Consider the following 16,791-nt stretch of genomic DNA (forward strand, 5'->3'; position numbering starts at 1 on the left):
AAACCACGGGCAGAGCTGTACCTCGGCCCTTTTAGCAATGGCTGGAGCAGCTGGGATGCAGGGCACCAAGTCCCTAGGCTGCACACAGCATGGGGACCCTGGGCCTGGCCCACAAAACCATTTTTTCCTCCTAGTCTTCAGGGTCTGTGATGGGAGGGGCTGCCATGAAGACCTGTGACATGCCCTGGAGACATTTTCCCCATTGTCTTGGAGATTAACATTCAGCTCCCTGTAACTTATGCAAATTTCTGCAGCCAGCTTGAATTTCTCCTCAAAAAACAGGTTTCTCTCTTCTGCTGCATCAACTGGCTGCAAATTTTCCAAATTTTTATGCTGTTTCCCTTTTAAAATGAAATGCTTTTAACAGCACCCAAATCACCTCTTGAATGCTTTGCTGCTTAGAAATTTCTTCAGCCAGATACCCTAAATCATCTCTCTCAAGATCAAAGTTCCACAAATCTCTGTGGTAGGGGCAAAATGCCACCAGTCTCTTTGCTAAAACATAACAACAGTCATCTTTGCTCCAGTTCCCTACAAGTTCCTCATCTCCATCTGAGACCACCTCAGCCTGGACCTTATTGTCCATAGCAGTATCCGCATTTTTGTCAAAGCCATTCAACAAGTCTTTAGGAAGCTCCAAACTTTCCCACATTTTCTTGTCTTCTTCTGAGCCCTCCAAACTGTTTCAACCTCTGCCTGTTACCCAGTTCCAAAGTCGCTTCCACATTTTCAGGTATCTTTTCAGCAGCGCCCCACTCCACTGGTACCAATTTACTGTATTAGTCAGTTTTCATACTGCTGATAAAGACATATCCAAGACTGGGAAGAAAAAGAGGTTTAACTGGACTTACAGTTGCACATGGCTGGGGAGGCCTCAGAATCATGGTGGGAGGCAAAAGGCACTTCTTACATGGCAGTGGCAAGAGAAAACGAGAGAGAAGTAAAGGTGCAAACCCCTGATAAACCCATCAGATCTCGTGAGACTTAATTCACTATCATGAGAATAGCATGGGAATTCATCATTGAATCAATCATTGAAAAGAATTAGCAGAGGACTGATAAATAAGCATAGAAAGATAGGAAGAGCATTTCAGATTCAATTACCTCCCCGTGGGTCCCTCCCATAACATGTGGGAATTCTGGGAGACACAATTCAAGTTGAGATTTGGGTGGGGACATAGCCAAACCATATCAAGGATAGTCATTTTTTCTCTGCTGTCATATTTATGGCAAGGTTCATTGTTCACTCATCTGGTCTCCATAGTTAAAACATTTCTTTGAAAATACTTTAACCAGATTCATAATATTTTATAAGATATGTAATAAACTGAATGTTTGTGTTCTTTCCTCCACCCTCCCATTCACATAGGAAGCTCTAACCTCAATGCAATGGTATTGGGAGGTGGGGCATTTGGAAAATAATTGTGCTTAGATGAGGTCAGGAGGGTAGATCCCCCTTGATGGGATTAGTGCCCTTATAACTAGAGGAAGAGACACCAGACCTTTCTCTCTGCAGAATATGAGAAGGCAGCCATCTGCAAGCCAGGAAGAGAGCCCCCATCATGAGTCAAATCTATTGGCATCTTGATCTTGGACTTACTAGCCTCCAGAACTGTGAGAAATAAGCGTCTGTTGTTTGAGCCAACCAGCCTATGGGATTTGGTTACAGCAACCCAAGATGACTAATATAACATCTTCACAATTCAGCAAATACATATATAAATTTATTTTACAGATGAATAGAAAGATTAGTTGCTTTTCTAGAACCACATGACCAGTATAGGATCAAAATCTCATTCTCTTCATGGTGAACTTACTCAATTATTTGTTCAACTTAATCAATTATTTGCTAACTGATCACCTACTGCATACTAGAAGCTATGCTCAGCTTTCAGTCACAAAGATAGAGAATGTATGGTCCCAAATCTTAAGAAGCTTGCAATGGAAAATAAGCAGACAAGAAAATAAAAATAAATTAGTTACAATATCACAGCATTAAAAATGTACTAACAGAAGGCTATACTGAATACGTTAAGGTGCCACAGAATGAAAGATAACCATTCTACTTGGAGAAGTCAGGAAAAGTTTCAGAGATAAGGTAACATGAATTCATCATTGAAAAGAATTAATAGAGGTTTGATAAATAGACAGAGAAAGGTAGGAAGAGCATTTTAGACACAGAGAATACTGTCTAGCAAGATCCAGGAATAAAAAAAGAACTGGCATATAATGGTTTGACAAACAATCAGGTATGGCTTGAGCACAAAGCATGTATGGTAGAGACAGAAAAAGATAGTGACCAAGGGGAAGCCTGGGAATGAAGGCAGGAGTCAGACTGTGAAAGGCCTTTATATTGCACTCAGTACAATTTTTGTAAAATAAATGAACTGTCATTTTAAAAGCCTAACTTTCCTTGTGTGTTGCCTTTGCCTTTGTCTAACATTACCAAGAGCACCTATACCTGTGTCCAATCTTGCTCCAGTCCTAAGGGTAGCTGGGTCTTGGTATTCAAATTCTCTTTTCCGCTTTTAGGGATCCAAGCTCAGCTCATCAGCAGTTAAGAGGTCTAAGTGCTTGCTTCATTTCTGAGGAGAAGAAAGTACCAGGAAGACAACCAATCCTATGGTACTTCATAACTATGGCTTGGAGACCCAAGTCAAGCTTTTTAGTCTGACCACCACTCTGGCAGTGAAGGCTTCCAAAATGCATGTGTAAATTTGAGCTAAGAGTGGGTGTCCAGAAGAAGCCATAGTAAATAGCAAAAAGCTATGTTCAAAAACATCTATGTGGTCTGAGGAAAACTGGGGAGGGTACCAACTAAGGCTAATTGAGCCACTTTGGGGAATTAATTGATCACACCGAGGAAGATAGCCATGTAAAGGAATTGGCTGCCCCTTCCCTTGGTCCTTGTGGTGGGGTGTCTACTGGAACTGTCGTGGATGTTGCCATGAAGCCTCTATATGGACCCAAATATCATAGCAGCCCATTCTGCTTTATGTATCCTGCTCATTCATTCATTCATTCAACAAACAAACATTCATTGATCACTTACCATGCAATGTTTTAAACACTGGGAATACAGAGACGAAAGATGCAGCCTCTGCTCTTGAGAAACACAGCATAGCGAATAAATTAAAATCAAGAACATTTCTCTAGACAAGGAAAACTCACTAGAAAAACAGAATTCAAAAATAAGATCTAATTCACAATAGCATAAAAATCTATAAAGTATTGATAACCTTATTTAATAAAAAAATAAAGAAAAAGTTTTAAATTAGTCTAAAGAACATATAAGATGAGAAGAATAATTGGGGAGACAGTCTATACTTTTGGGAAGGGTGGTTTATTATCATAAAATCTCAATTCTCCCCCAAATTAACCTCAAGTAAGATTTCAGTTGGGTTTTCTGAGGATCTCTGAAAACCTCTATAATCTACATGGAAAAATAAAGGTCCACAAATAACTAAATAAACGTTGAGAAAGAGGAGAAAAGTAGAAGTAGGGGAGGGAGTGTCCCAACCAAATCCATGGATGTACTACAAAGCCACTGTCATAGAAACAATTTCGAGCAAGAACATTTAAATGGACAAGTAGAACAGAACAGAGGGCAAGCGTCAGAAACAGACTCATCTACTTATAAGAATGTAATACATAATAAAGTTGGTAGCATAAATCAAGAAAAGATGAACATTGGAGTTTAAAAACTGACATAATAGACTGACATAATTAAGTATCTACTCAATATCATTAGACTAAAAAATAGACTCAGGATGGAAAATAAAGCTGTTAAGATAATATAGAAGAATTAATGTGTGGCAAAATTGTTACACATTTCTGTTCAGATTACTAGGAGACAATGTTTTCAATATCTAAAACTTACAGATAACTAACATTGAGATTATACAAGTGACAGGGCCAGATTTGCAACTCAAAAAGATCACCTAAGGGTGCAGCAAACTGTATCTACTCTTTCTCTTCTTTTTCTTTTTCTTTTTGAGATAGGGTCTCATTCTGTCACCCAGGCTGGAGTACAGTGACATGATCCTGGCTCACAGCAGCCTCAACCTCCTTGGCTCAAGCCATCCTTCCACCTAGGCTTTTGCAAGGCAACAAGAAAGTTTTGCAAGGATACAAGAAAGTTTTGCAAGGCAACAGGAAAATGAGAGTAACTCAACAGAAAAGTAGACAAAGGCATGATAGGCAATGTGAATAATCACATGACAACAAATTTACTGAGATCCTCAACCCACTAGTAACCAGAGAAATGAAAATTAAACAGCAGTGTAATACCGCTTTGAAGCTACTCAACTGATCAAAACATGCCCAGTGTTGTTGGGGACATGGGGCTACAAAGACTCTTGCACTGTGATGAACACACAGTCAGTGCAGCCATTCGAGGGAGCAACAGCCAGGATCTGGCTAAATAAGCACACCATCGCTTTCCAACCCCAGAATTCTGATCTTGGATGTTCACATCCCACAGAAATTCTCACACAGGTCCGTAAAGGATGTATACAAGGCTGCTCATTACAGCATCGTTTGTGATACAGGGAAGGTGAAAGGATTTGGGTGGCCACCACTGAAAGTGAGAATAGGTAAAATATGATGAATTCAGACTGTGGAACAAAAGCACTGGTTAGAAGCAAAAGACTACAGATACACAAAGGAAAATGAGTAGATGTTTAAAACTCGTCCTAATTTTAAAAAGTAAAAAGTGTAAAGTCGATAAAAGACAGCATTTATGTAAATTAAAAACACATACAAACAGTGCAGAATTCGTTATAATAAGAAAGGAATAAGTAAACTAAGGCAGGAGCTTGAACAAACCAAAGAAACCAAATGATACCGTGCCATGAAGATTTCAAGGAATTCTATTTTCTGCAACTGTCCTCCCCCAATTTACCAAAATAGGTACACTGCAATAAAACCTACAAAGTGCCTTTATAGAGATTAGCTCTAGTGCTCGCTTCAGCAGCACGTATACCATATAAATTAAAAAATACATACATAAAATACATTAGCTCTAAAGAGTGTGGATGTTTGGAGGAGAGAATAAGAAAAGGCTTCACCAAGAAGGTAACAACAGAGATGGATCTTGGAGGACTTGTAAGAGTTCATAGAAAGTAGGGAAAAGGGGAGTGTAATCTGAGGGCAACTGTAAAAGCAAAGGTTTCTAAATACAAGCAAAAGATAAGAAAGGAGAGAATAGGCTGGGTGCAGTGGCTCATACCTACAATCCCAGCACCTTGGGAGGCTGAGGTGGGAGGATCACTTGAGCCCTGGAGTTTGACAGCAGCCTGTGCAACATAGTGAGACCCCATGTCTACAAAAAAAATTAAAAATGAGCCAGGTGTGGTGGTGCATGCCTGTAGTCCCAGCTATTGGGGAGACCAAGGTAGAAGGATGGCTTTAGCCCAGGAGGTTGAGGCAGAAGTGAGCCATGATCACATCACTGCACTCCAGCCTGGGTGACAGAATGAGACCCTATCTCAAAAAGAGAAAGAAGGGAAAGAATTGATACAACTTGCTGCACCTTTAAGTGATCTTTTTGAGATGAAAATCTGGCCCTGTCACTCTCCCTTAGATCCTTCAATGGATTACCTTGCCCTCAAAATAAAGATCAAATTCCTTAACATGGTCTACTAGGCCCACGTGATCCCTGGTCTCTGCTCACATCTTCAGTTTCATCTTGTGCTATGGGATTTCCACCTCTGTCCTCCAGATCTGAAATTTTCTAGCTTTCCTTCAATGACACTCCTGCCTCCAAATTACAGATTTCTCAAACCCTCCAGAAGAGGTCATTCTCAGGTTTTATATATATATACTTTCAGAAATCAAAGACAAAATTCTGAGACCTCCCAACCATCTGAAAGGACACCTCCTCTAGGCCAAAGGCATTCCAAAGTTAAGCTGAAAAACTGTTTCAGGCTGTGATGGAAGTGGGGGTCAGACATGCCTCATTATGCCCTCCTCTTTTTTGGAATTCAGGAAGAGCCGACCGGCACTAACATCAACACAGACCTAAGGCCTGATAAGAAACATTTACCATATCTTTCCTGTTCCTCACCCTGATCACGCTTCATTTACTGATGGCAGCTCCACCAGGCCTAATCGCCACACACCAGCAAAGGCAGGCTATGCTATAGTACAAGCCACTAGCCCGCCTTTCAGAACCTCTCATTTCCTTTCCATCATGGAAATCTATCCTCAAGGAAATAATTTCTCAGTGTTCCATCTGCTATTCTACTATTCCTCAGGGATTATTCAGGCCCCCTTCCTTCCCTACACAGCAAGCTCGAGGATTTGCCCCCACCCAGGACTGGCAAATTAGCTTTACTCAACACGTCCGGAGTCAGGAAACTAAAATCTTAATCTCTCCCAATCTAGGTTCCCACGCCGCCCCTAATCCCGCTTGAAGCAGCCCTGAGAAACATCGCCCATTCTCTCTCCATATCACCCCCCAAAAATTTTTGCCACCCCAACACTTCAACACTATTTTGTTTCATTTTTCTTATTAATATAAGAAGGCAGGAATGTCAGGCCTCTGAGCCCAAGCCAAGCCATCACATCCCCTGTGACTTGCAGGTATAGGCCCAGATGGCCTGAAGTAACTGAAGAATCACAAAAGAAGTGAATATGCCCTGCCCCACCTTAACTGATGACATTCCACCACAAAAGAAGTGTAAATGGCCGGTCCTTGCCTTAACTGATGACATTACCTTGTGAAAGTCCTTTTCCTGGCTCATCCTGGCTCAAAAGCACCCCCACCGAGCACCTTGCGACCCCCACTCCTGCCCACTGAGCACCTTGCGACCCCCACTCCTACCCACCAGAGAACAAACCCCCTTTGACTGTAATTTTCCTTTACCTACCCAAATCCTATAAAACGGTCCCACCCTTATCTCCCTTCACTGACTCTCTTTTCGGACTCAGCCCGCCTGCACCCAGGTGAAATAAACAGCCATGTTGCTCACACAAAGCCTGTTTGGTGGTCTCTTCACACGGACGCGCATGAAAATAATACCTACCTCATACATCTGTCATGTAACACTTTAGTGTTCTATATTTGCATAGCTGTATCCTTCCATTAGTTTGTATAGAGCTGACTTAGTATTTTTGGTTGAATAAATGTTGAATGACCTGGCAAAAAAAAAAAAAAAAAAAAGAAACATTTACCATCTATTCTCTCTGAAACCTGCCACTTGGAAGCTTCATCTACATGATAAAACCTTGGTCTCCACAACCCCTTAACATATCCCAGACATTCCTATTGATAATAATTATTTTGACCAGTTACAAATCAGAAAATTTATAAATCTACCTATGACCTGCAAGCCCTCCTACCCCCGCCCTCAAATTGTCCCACCCTTCCAGATTGAACCAATGTAAATCTTACATGTATTGATTGATGTATTATGTCTCCCCAAAAATGTATAAAAGCAAGCTGTACCCTGACCACCTCGGGCACGTCATCGGAACCTCCTGAAACCCTGTCATGGGTATATCCTTAACTCTGGCAAAATAAACTTTCTAAACTTTCTTTGAGACTTGTCTCAGGTACTTTTGAGTTCACACTTTTTAGCATCCATCAAAATTATAGTAATTTATTATTAAGTAATCATTTGTTTAATGTTTATGCAGGCATAACCTAGGTCCTTGAGATCAAAGACCATGTGCACAACTATATCCCTAGCCCCTCATTCAACGCTTTGCACAATATGGGTTGAGTATCCCTTATCTGAAATGCTTGGGACCAGAAGTGTTTTGGATTTTGGATTTCTTTGGATTTGGGAATATTTGCAGGTACTTAGCCAGTTGAGCGTCCCAAGTCCAAAAATCCCAAATGTCAAATGTTCCAATGAACACTTCCTTTGAGTATCATATTTCACAATTTGGAGCATTTTGGATTTGAGATTTGGGGATTAGGTCTGCTAAACCTATACATGTGTTGAATGACTGCATAAATTAAGGAATGGAGTAGGAGTGCTTTGGTTGGGGTGGGAACCAGTGATTCTGTTTCAGACAGCTACCCGTGATAGTAGCAGCTAAATAAGAGTTGGGGTCAATTATGGAACCACTGGCCCTGTTCTTTCTCTCAATGTTCTACACAATGGGATCCTCAGTGTATCCACTGGGGGAACGAGATAAAAATATTAGAGCTTTCAATGACATTTATTTGTACCTCATTATTTTAAAACATCTGTGTTTGCATATCATACAGAAGTACACATATATAATTCATAAATAAATAAAACATGCATATACTGGGGAAATGCCTGCTCAAAATTTTTTTATTGACAGGAGGTAGAATGAAAGATGTTTAAAAATCACTGCTGTGGGTCAGAGAGTTTCCACTATTATTAGGCATCCAAATCAGCAAGGAGCTATTTTCAAATAGTTCTGTTTGACCCCAAACCTACAGAATTAAAACTCCGTGGGTTTAGGGCAATGGCAAATTCAGAATGCTGATCAGATGATTATGATGGAAGCCTCTGCTAAAGAACCACTGCTTTTCTATCAGGATTCCTAAACCTGGCTTCTCATCCTAATCATAATCATCTTAAAAACAAACAACAGTCAGGCCCAGTGGCTCATGCCTGTAACCTCTGCACCCAGGGAAGCCAAGGGAGGAGGATCCCTTGAGGCCAGGGGTTCAAAATCAGTCTGGGAAAATAGAGAGTACTGAGACCCCATCTCTACAAACAAATTAAAAATTAGCTGTACATGGTGGTGTGTACCTGTAGTCCCAGCTACCAGGGAGGCTGAGGTGAGAGGATGGCTTGAGCCCAGGAGTTCAAGGCTGCAGTGAGCTATGATCACGCCACTGCACTCCAGCCTAAGCGACATAGCAAGACTCTGTCTCATAGATAGATAGATAGATAGATAGATAGATAGATAGATAGATAGATTGATAGACAGATGGATTTTAAGGAAATTTTGCTGATTTGCCAGGTTTGGGAGCCACTGTGTCAGAAGTGTTCAAACCACAGTGACTCCATCATAAATAGGGACTTGATAAAACAAAGCTGAGACCTATGGGGCTACATTCCCAGGAGGTTAGGCGTTCTTAGTCACAGGATGAGATAGGGGTCGGCACAAGATACAAGTCACAAGGACCTTGCTGATAAAACAGGATACAGTAAAGACACCAGCCAAAACCCACCAAATCCAAAACAGTGATGAAAGTGACCTCTCTGGTCATCCTTACTGCTCATTATATGCTACTCATAATTCATTAGCATGCGAAAAGACACTCCCACCAGTGCCATGACAACTTAAAAATGCCAGGCAGTGTCTGAACTTTAGACCCTATAGGGTCTAAAGTGGAGAGGAACCCTCAGTTCTGGGAACTGCCTGTACCTTTCTTGGAACACTCATGAGTAATCCACCCATTGTTTAGCATATAATGAAGAAATAACTGTAAGTATACTCAGTCGAACAGCCCATTCTTTTATTCCTTTGCTTTCTTAATAAACTTGCTTTCCCTTTACGGGCTTGCCCCAAATTCGTTCTTGTGCAAGGCCCGTGAACACTCCCTTGGGGTTGGGACCAGAACCTCTTTCTGGTAACAAATACAGTAGAGCCAGAACTCCACTAAATGAACTTTACTGGTTATAGTCTCTTTAAGAACAGGAATTGGGCTGGGCGCGGTGGCTCACGCCTGTAATCCCAGCACTTTGGGAGGCTGAGGCGGGAGGATCATGAGGTCAGGAGATCAAGACTATCCTGGCCAACACGGTGAAACCCTGCCTCTACTAAAAATACAAAAAATTAGCCGGGCGTGGTGGCGGGCGCCTGTAGTCCCAGCTACTCAGGAGGCTGAGGCAGGAGAATGGCATGAACCCGGGAGGTGGAGCTTGCAGTGAGCCTAGATCATGCCACTGCACTCCAGCCTGGGCCACAGAGCGAGACTCCATTTCAAAAGAATAGGAATTGGCTGAGTGCAGTGGCTCACGCCTGTAATCTCGCCAGCACTTTGGGAGGTTGAGGCAGGTGGATCATTTGAGCCCAGGAGTTTGAGACCAGCCTGGGCAACAAAGTGGGACCCCCATCTCTACAAAACAATACAAAAATTAGCCAGGCATGGTGGTGTGCACCTGTAGTCCCAGCTACTCGGGAGGCTGAGGTGGGAGGATTGCTTGAGCCTGGGAGGTGGAGACTGCAGTAAGCCATGATAGCACCACTGCACTCCAGTCTAGGCAACAAAGCGAGACCCTGTATCAAAAAAATAAAAATAAAAAATAAGGAACAGGGATCATTCCCATCCCCATCCCTATCTTCCAAAAATTTTGGATGGGGAAATTTCCAAAACATCCCAAATCCAAACATTTCAAAAGACAAAAAGCAAGACAACCTGAATAACAGCGCTTCTAGGGATTGCTCACTGTAGGGCAGGCAGGCAAGGACCCACTCCCTCTTCATGACTGCAACACCTCACCATAGCTATAACCAGCCTCCAGGAGGACCTGGGCATTCTCAGACATTATGTACCAGACGTTTTGGAAATGTTCAACTGAATGAGATTTGGAAGTATACATATTTTTCTATGATATATGCACTCAAGTTAAAAATGTCTTTGTACAGGAGATTCGAAAAATATGAGCCTCTAGTCTAGAGACTTAGGAAGAGTGATGGTGTAACTGCTGACCTACAAGCATCACACAGAGGCATCATCACTTTGGCATTGGTTTATAAACTCACCGACAAGATAATCTTTTCCTCCTCCAAACTCCCATGGCACCTCTAGCATAAAGTGCACTGCACTTCAACACTGTTGTTCATCTGTCACATCCATTACACTGTGAGCTCCTTGACATCAGGGTAGGCAACCTATTCATCTTTTAGAACCCAGCAGAGCTGGTAAGAGGCTATTCTTTTTTTTTTTTTTTTTTTTTTTGAGATGGAGTCTTGCTTTGTTGCCCAGGCTGGAGTGCAGTGGTGCAATCTCGGCTCATTGCAATCTCCACCTCCTGGGTTCAAGCGATTCTCCTGTCTCAGTCTCCCGAGTAGCTGGGATTACAGGTGCAAGCCACTGAGCCTGGCTAATTTTTGTATTTTTTTTAGTAGAGACAGGGTTTCGCCATGTTGGCCAGGCTGGTCTTGAACTCCTGACCTCAGGTGATCTGCCCACCTCGACCTCCCGAAGTGCTGGGATTACAGGCGTGAGCCACCACACCCGGCCAGGGCTGTTCTTTTTTTTTAAGGCAATGGCACTCTTTCCATCTCTTCCTCCTGACCATTCCACCAAACATCTCCCACAGATACAAACCATAGAGAATATCAGGTATTTTCAACTTTGCTAATCAACTCTTTAAAATGATAGTCCATTTTAGAACTTGAACAAATATTTACTATACCATTTATCGACCCCAAGTTGGGCTTTCCTCCTCTTAAAGAAGTTCAGTGAACTACAAGAATTTGTGGATTAAAAAAAAAAAAATTTAACCCAAAGACTCCTAGTGACCTTTGCTGGAGCTAACACAGCATCTCTTAATCCAGCTCTAAAGGATGTGAAGAGCTCCAGGCCTGAGGCACCATGCTGTGCAGCAATTTACTTCTTCATTGCACCAGGCTCATCCCTCATTGCCCACAGCATCCAGGGGTAAACTCGGAACAAAAGATTGCTTACACTTTCATAACTTCAAAAATTACATCACACATGCATGTCCAGTGTTAAACTACAACTGATTACATGTACTGTCTAACGAAATTGTTGAATACTTGCTCTGCTTTTCTCCCTGTTGGCCTTACAATCCCTGTTTCTAATTTCCTTCCATCCTCGGGTCATAAAACTTTATACCCAGTGGCCTGGCACAAAAGTTTCTTTTCTTGTTTCCCTAATATCCTTAAAGCAGGCATTGCAGTCCACTGTACTTCTTCCTTCTATACAAGCTGGAACACCCTGAGTCCTAAGCTTTACTGTGCTTAAGAATGACCCGTGGGAGGCTGAGGTGTGTGGTTCACGAGGTCAGGAGTTCAAGACCAGCCTGGCCAGTATGGTGAAACCCCATCTCTACTAAAAATACAAAAACATTAGCCAGGCGTAGTGGCGGGCGCCTGCAACCCCAGCTACTTAGGAGGCTGAGGCAGAGAACTGCCTGAACCTGGGAGGCGGAGGTTGTAGTGAGCCAAGATCATGCCACTGCACTCCAGCCTGGGCAACAGAGTAAGACTCCATCTCAAAAAAAAAGAATGACTCACAAAGCGAATTGGAGACTCCAATGCAGGTGTACCACAAACTACACTTTGATCTATGGTGTGGCAGATGTCACAGCCGGATCACCCGCACATCCACAAACTATACGTTGAGACCCTCCGCACACTTAGTTGTTATATACATTATTAATAATTCACAAGTGAACACAACTGTGAATTATTAAAAATTCACAATTCATTCATTCATTCAGGTCGAGGTGGTCTCTTTCACTTCTTAAACTCCCATCCTTTTCCTACACCCATGACTTAATATCTCTGAGAATAAGTGAGTTTCTAAATGTCTGAGTTAATAGAAACATTCTTTTTACAAGCAAAACAGACCATTTCCTCAGTAACCCTTCCCAGAACCACCCATCTTACCACTCTTACCACTACTGATTAAAAAAAAGAAAAACAGGTAGTGCCGATCAAACCAGGCAAGCTGAAGCCCATGGCTCCTGGACACAAATGATGACAGCTGTGACTAAACTCCTAGGCAAGGCTCTTTGATGTGTCTATCTGGCCAATAGGCCTCTACATCTTGAAAGCAAAGTAGCAACATTGAGAAAAAAAAGGGCCAGGCTGTGAAATGCAAGTTCAAAGCAAGCAGCAAAGTATTAATAGTTGAGCTTCTTTCTGCAAATAAAACACAGAGCTCTAGAGGCAGCCCCTGCAAAATCAAGAGCAGAACTCCTCAAGGAGTCCTCTCACAAACAGAGAAGTACTCAGAGAGGACATCATTTTATTCACCTCCAACAGTCAATTCTTCAAATCTGACTTGATCATTTTATCTTCAAAAAACAGTCAGCACGGCCGGGCGCGGTGGCTCACGCCTGTAATCCCAGCACTTTGGGAGGCCGAGGCGGGCGGATCACGAGGTCAGGAGATCGAGACCATCCCGGCTAAAACGGTGAAACCCCGTCTCTACTAAAAATACAAAAAAATTAGCCGGGCGTAGTGGTGGGCGCCTGTAGTCCCAGCTACTTGGGAGGCTGAGGCAGGAGAATGGCGTGAACCCGGGAGGCGGAGCTTGCAGTGAGCCGAGATCCCGCCACTGCACTCCAGCCTGGGTGACAGAGTGAGACTCCGTCTAAAAAAAAAAAATAAAAAAAATAAATAAATAAATAAATAAAAAAACAGTCAGCACAATACTAAAATCCATTCCCTGTCTTATTTTCCCATTGCCCCTGCATTCGTTCAAGGTGTCTTCTTTTCTTACCTCCATGACTACAATATCCATCTAATTGCTACAACAGCTGATTGCCTTCCTTGCCCCTCCACTTCACTATCCACACCAGTCCATTCTCTCAACTGCCCCCAGAGCTTTTTTTTCTAAATCTAACCTTAGAATCTGATCTCATCATGACCTTGCTTGAAACCCTTCCAAGGAGGCCTATCCCCAGAAGGATGAAGTCCAAACTCAGTAGCAGGAATGGCCTACAAGGCCTTTCATGATTTGGCTGCCCGACTACCCTTCCAACTTCATTCTCTGCCATTTCTTCACCACATCTCATGTTAAACCCACACTATTTGCACATCCCTGAACAGAGGGTGCTCAGGCTTGTATTTTTGCATATTTCACTTCTGCTATTGGTATGCTTTTCCTATATCCTCCTCTATACCAGGTTAACAGAATTTTTTTTTTTTTTTTTTTTTGAGACAGATTCTCGCTCTGTCGCCCAGGCTGGAGTGCAGTGGTGCGATCTCGGCTCACTGCAAGCTCTGCCTCCCAGGTTCACGCCATTCTCCTGCCTCAGTCTCCCAAGCCCGGCTAATTTTTTTTGTATTTTTAGTAGAGACGGGGTTTCACCATGTTAGCCAGGATGGTCTCAATCTCCTGGCCTCGTGATCCCCCGCCTCGGCCTCCCAAAATGCTGGGATTAAAGGCATGAGCCACCATGCCGGCCAGTAACAGAATATTTTTAAAAGACAAGTCAACTCAAATCTCACCTTCGCCGGGCACGTTGGCTCACACCTGTAATCCCAGCACTTTGGGAGGCCAAGGTGAGTGAATTGCTTGAGTCAAGGAGTTCGAGACCAGCCTGGGTAACATGACAAAACTCTGTCTTTACAAAAATATACCAAAAATTAGCCAGGTGTGCATGGTGGTACACATCTCTAGTTCCAGCCCCAGGAGGCTGAGGTGGGAGGATCACCTAAACCCAGGAGTTTGAGGCTACAGTGAGCCATGATTGCGCCACTACACTCCAGCCTAGGTGACACAGTGAGACCCTATCTCAAAAAGAAAAAAATATATATAATCCACCTTATCCATTCAGGCTTCTCTGATTCCCCAAGGAGTGCCACCTACTCTCTCCTTTATGCTTCCATTGTACTTTGTGTCCATCTCAACATAACACTTACCATGCTCTGCTGCCATTATTTGCTACCTGTTTCTCTCCTCAATCAGATTGAGAGCTTCTTGAAAGCAGAGATCTTGTCTTTGTATATCTGGTTTCTAAGAATGCATACTGAGTAAATGAATAGAAGAAAAAATGAATGAGGCAATTAGTATGTATGCCTTGAATGGCATTAAATTTAGGCCTATGCCAATCAATGTGTAAAGGTTGAGAAAATAAATAAGGGGAAGCCAAGGATAGAAAATAAAACCATGCTCATCAGAATAGAAGAGGATAGGCTGGGCGCAGTGGCTCACGCCTGTAATCCCAATCACTTGGGGTCAATAGTTTGAGATGAGCCTGGCCAACATAGTGAAACCCCATCTCTACTAAAAACACAAAATTAGCCAGGCTTGGTGGTGCGCACCTGTAATCCCAGCTACTGGGGAGGCTGAGGCAAGAGAATCACTTGAACCTAGGAGGCAGAGGTTGCAGTGAGCCTAGATCGTGCCACTGCACTCCAGCCTGGGCTGGACAGAGCAAGACTCCATCTCTGAAAAATAAAATAAAATAAAATAAAACAAAAAAACAGAATAGAAGAAGATAGCTAAGAACCACAGTGGTCAAGCCAGCCTGGCTTCAACAGAGATGAATGGAGAGACCACGGTCAGCCCCATTAACAGAAGAACTGGGGCCAGGAACGGTGGCTCATGCCTATAATCCCAGCACTTTGGGAGGCCGAGGCAGGCAGATCATGAGGTCAGGAGTTCGAGACCAGCCTGACCAATATGGTGAAACCCCATCTCTACTAAACATACAAAAATTAGCCGGGTGTGGCAGCACATGCCTGTCATCCCAGCTACTCAGGAGGCTGAGGCAGGAGAAACGCTTGAACCCAGGAGGCAGAGGTAGCCATGAGCCGAGATCACGCCATTGCACTCCAGCCTGGCGACAGAGCGAGACTCCATCTCAAAAAAAAGAAGAACTGAGTTCAAAATCAGTTCGAAAGGTTCAATGTTGGGTCACAGGATCAGGCAAAAAGCAGAGGCAGAAAGGCCTTAGGAGTGTTCCAAGAACTAGCACTGGACCAGCTGAGAGTCAGAGAGAGTTCACCACGTGGGAACAATGCAGCCAGTCATGTGGGATGGTGGCACCATGACAGTATCTAGTCAGGACAATGACAGCCCTAGGGATAATGCTGATGAGTTCCTGCTTCAAAAAAGGTCATTGTCATTCCTTTAGTCCTGATACCTAGAACTATACAAGATTGTTCCCTGCCTCTCCCCAAGCCCCATAACTTGATCTTAAAGGCATTATTGTCAATTAAAGTAGTCCCAAGTTCTAGAAGCTATTTTTATTCAGCCTCGTCTAATAGGGCTTTCATTTTAAAATAGCTTTATTTTGAATCTATTTACTGTTCCCAGCCCCTATCACTTTGTTCTTATAAACATATTCATTCCACATGCATCACTGACAGGCACTGCTAGGAAAGGAAACTAACCCATCTTGGCCACCTTTACACATCAGGTACTTATACTAAGGTGATTTCTATATATTACAGTATTGAATCACCACAACAATCCAGTGACGTAGGTATCATTACATATTATTATCCCCAATTAAGACATTAGGGAAATGAAACGTAGGAAGATTCAGAGAAAGCACAGGAAGGTGAATATGCCCAAGATTTCACATTAAGTAAATGGAATGCAGGATTCAAATTTACCCCTGTCTGAATCTAAATCTCATTCTCTTTCCATGGCATCATTCTCTCTCCTCTCTAGGCCTTTATAGAGGAAATATAGGCCCAAATAAAATATCAAAATCTCAGGATGGGATGACAGGCTTGATTAAGAAACCCAGTCACCAAGACCACGCAGTAAGAAATGAAAAAGAAAAAAAATAATAAAATGCTGAGAACCATAGTCTGCAAAGTGAAAGGAAGAATACCTGGGAGAGCTAGAGTGACCTCCACATGCAAATACACCCTGCAGACAGGAACAGTCTTGATGGGAAGAGCAAACTCCCTAAATGGTCGGTTGTAACTTTCCTACTAGTTGAAAAGTCAGGAAAAGCCTTGTGTGCTAACTCTCTGGACAAGCGCACAAGAATCCAGGGTTGTGACTTCAAAAAAAAATATGCTGACAAGTCAGAGCTGGCAGAACAAGAGGAGGTCGAGTTGATGAGAAAAGAGAGAGAGAGAGAGAGAGAGAGAGAGAGAGCGCTGTAATCAAGGAGAACCAACTGAAGCTGGAGG

The 16,791-nt window shown here is 42.9% G+C and overlaps 1 long non-coding RNA gene across 1 annotated transcript in view, besides 1 other annotated feature; it reads right to left on the minus strand.

Annotated features, from left to right (window-relative positions):
• Positions 1-16,791, minus strand: part of OR2A1-AS1 (OR2A1 antisense RNA 1) — a 117,146-nt gene that overhangs the window by 97,586 nt on the left and 2,769 nt on the right. The window contains exon 2 of the long non-coding RNA NR_126023.1: positions 7,029-7,140. This is a non-coding gene — a long non-coding RNA (OR2A1 antisense RNA 1). The remainder of the gene's footprint in view (positions 1-7,028; positions 7,141-16,791) is intronic.
• Positions 6,488-7,412: an enhancer, noted in NCBI's record as "OCT4-NANOG-H3K27ac hESC enhancer chr7:144039739-144040663 (GRCh37/hg19 assembly coordinates)". NCBI's record gives its function as "activates a minimal SCP1, AML or CMV promoter by ChIP-STARR-seq in naive and primed H9 embryonic stem cells {active_cell/tissue: H9 hESC(naive and primed)}" and the evidence as "EXISTENCE:reporter gene assay evidence [ECO:0000049][PMID:30033119]".

Source organism: Homo sapiens, chromosome 7 (assembly GCF_000001405.40).
Source record: "Homo sapiens chromosome 7, GRCh38.p14 Primary Assembly".
Classification (NCBI taxonomy): domain Eukaryota; kingdom Metazoa; phylum Chordata; class Mammalia; order Primates; family Hominidae; genus Homo; species Homo sapiens.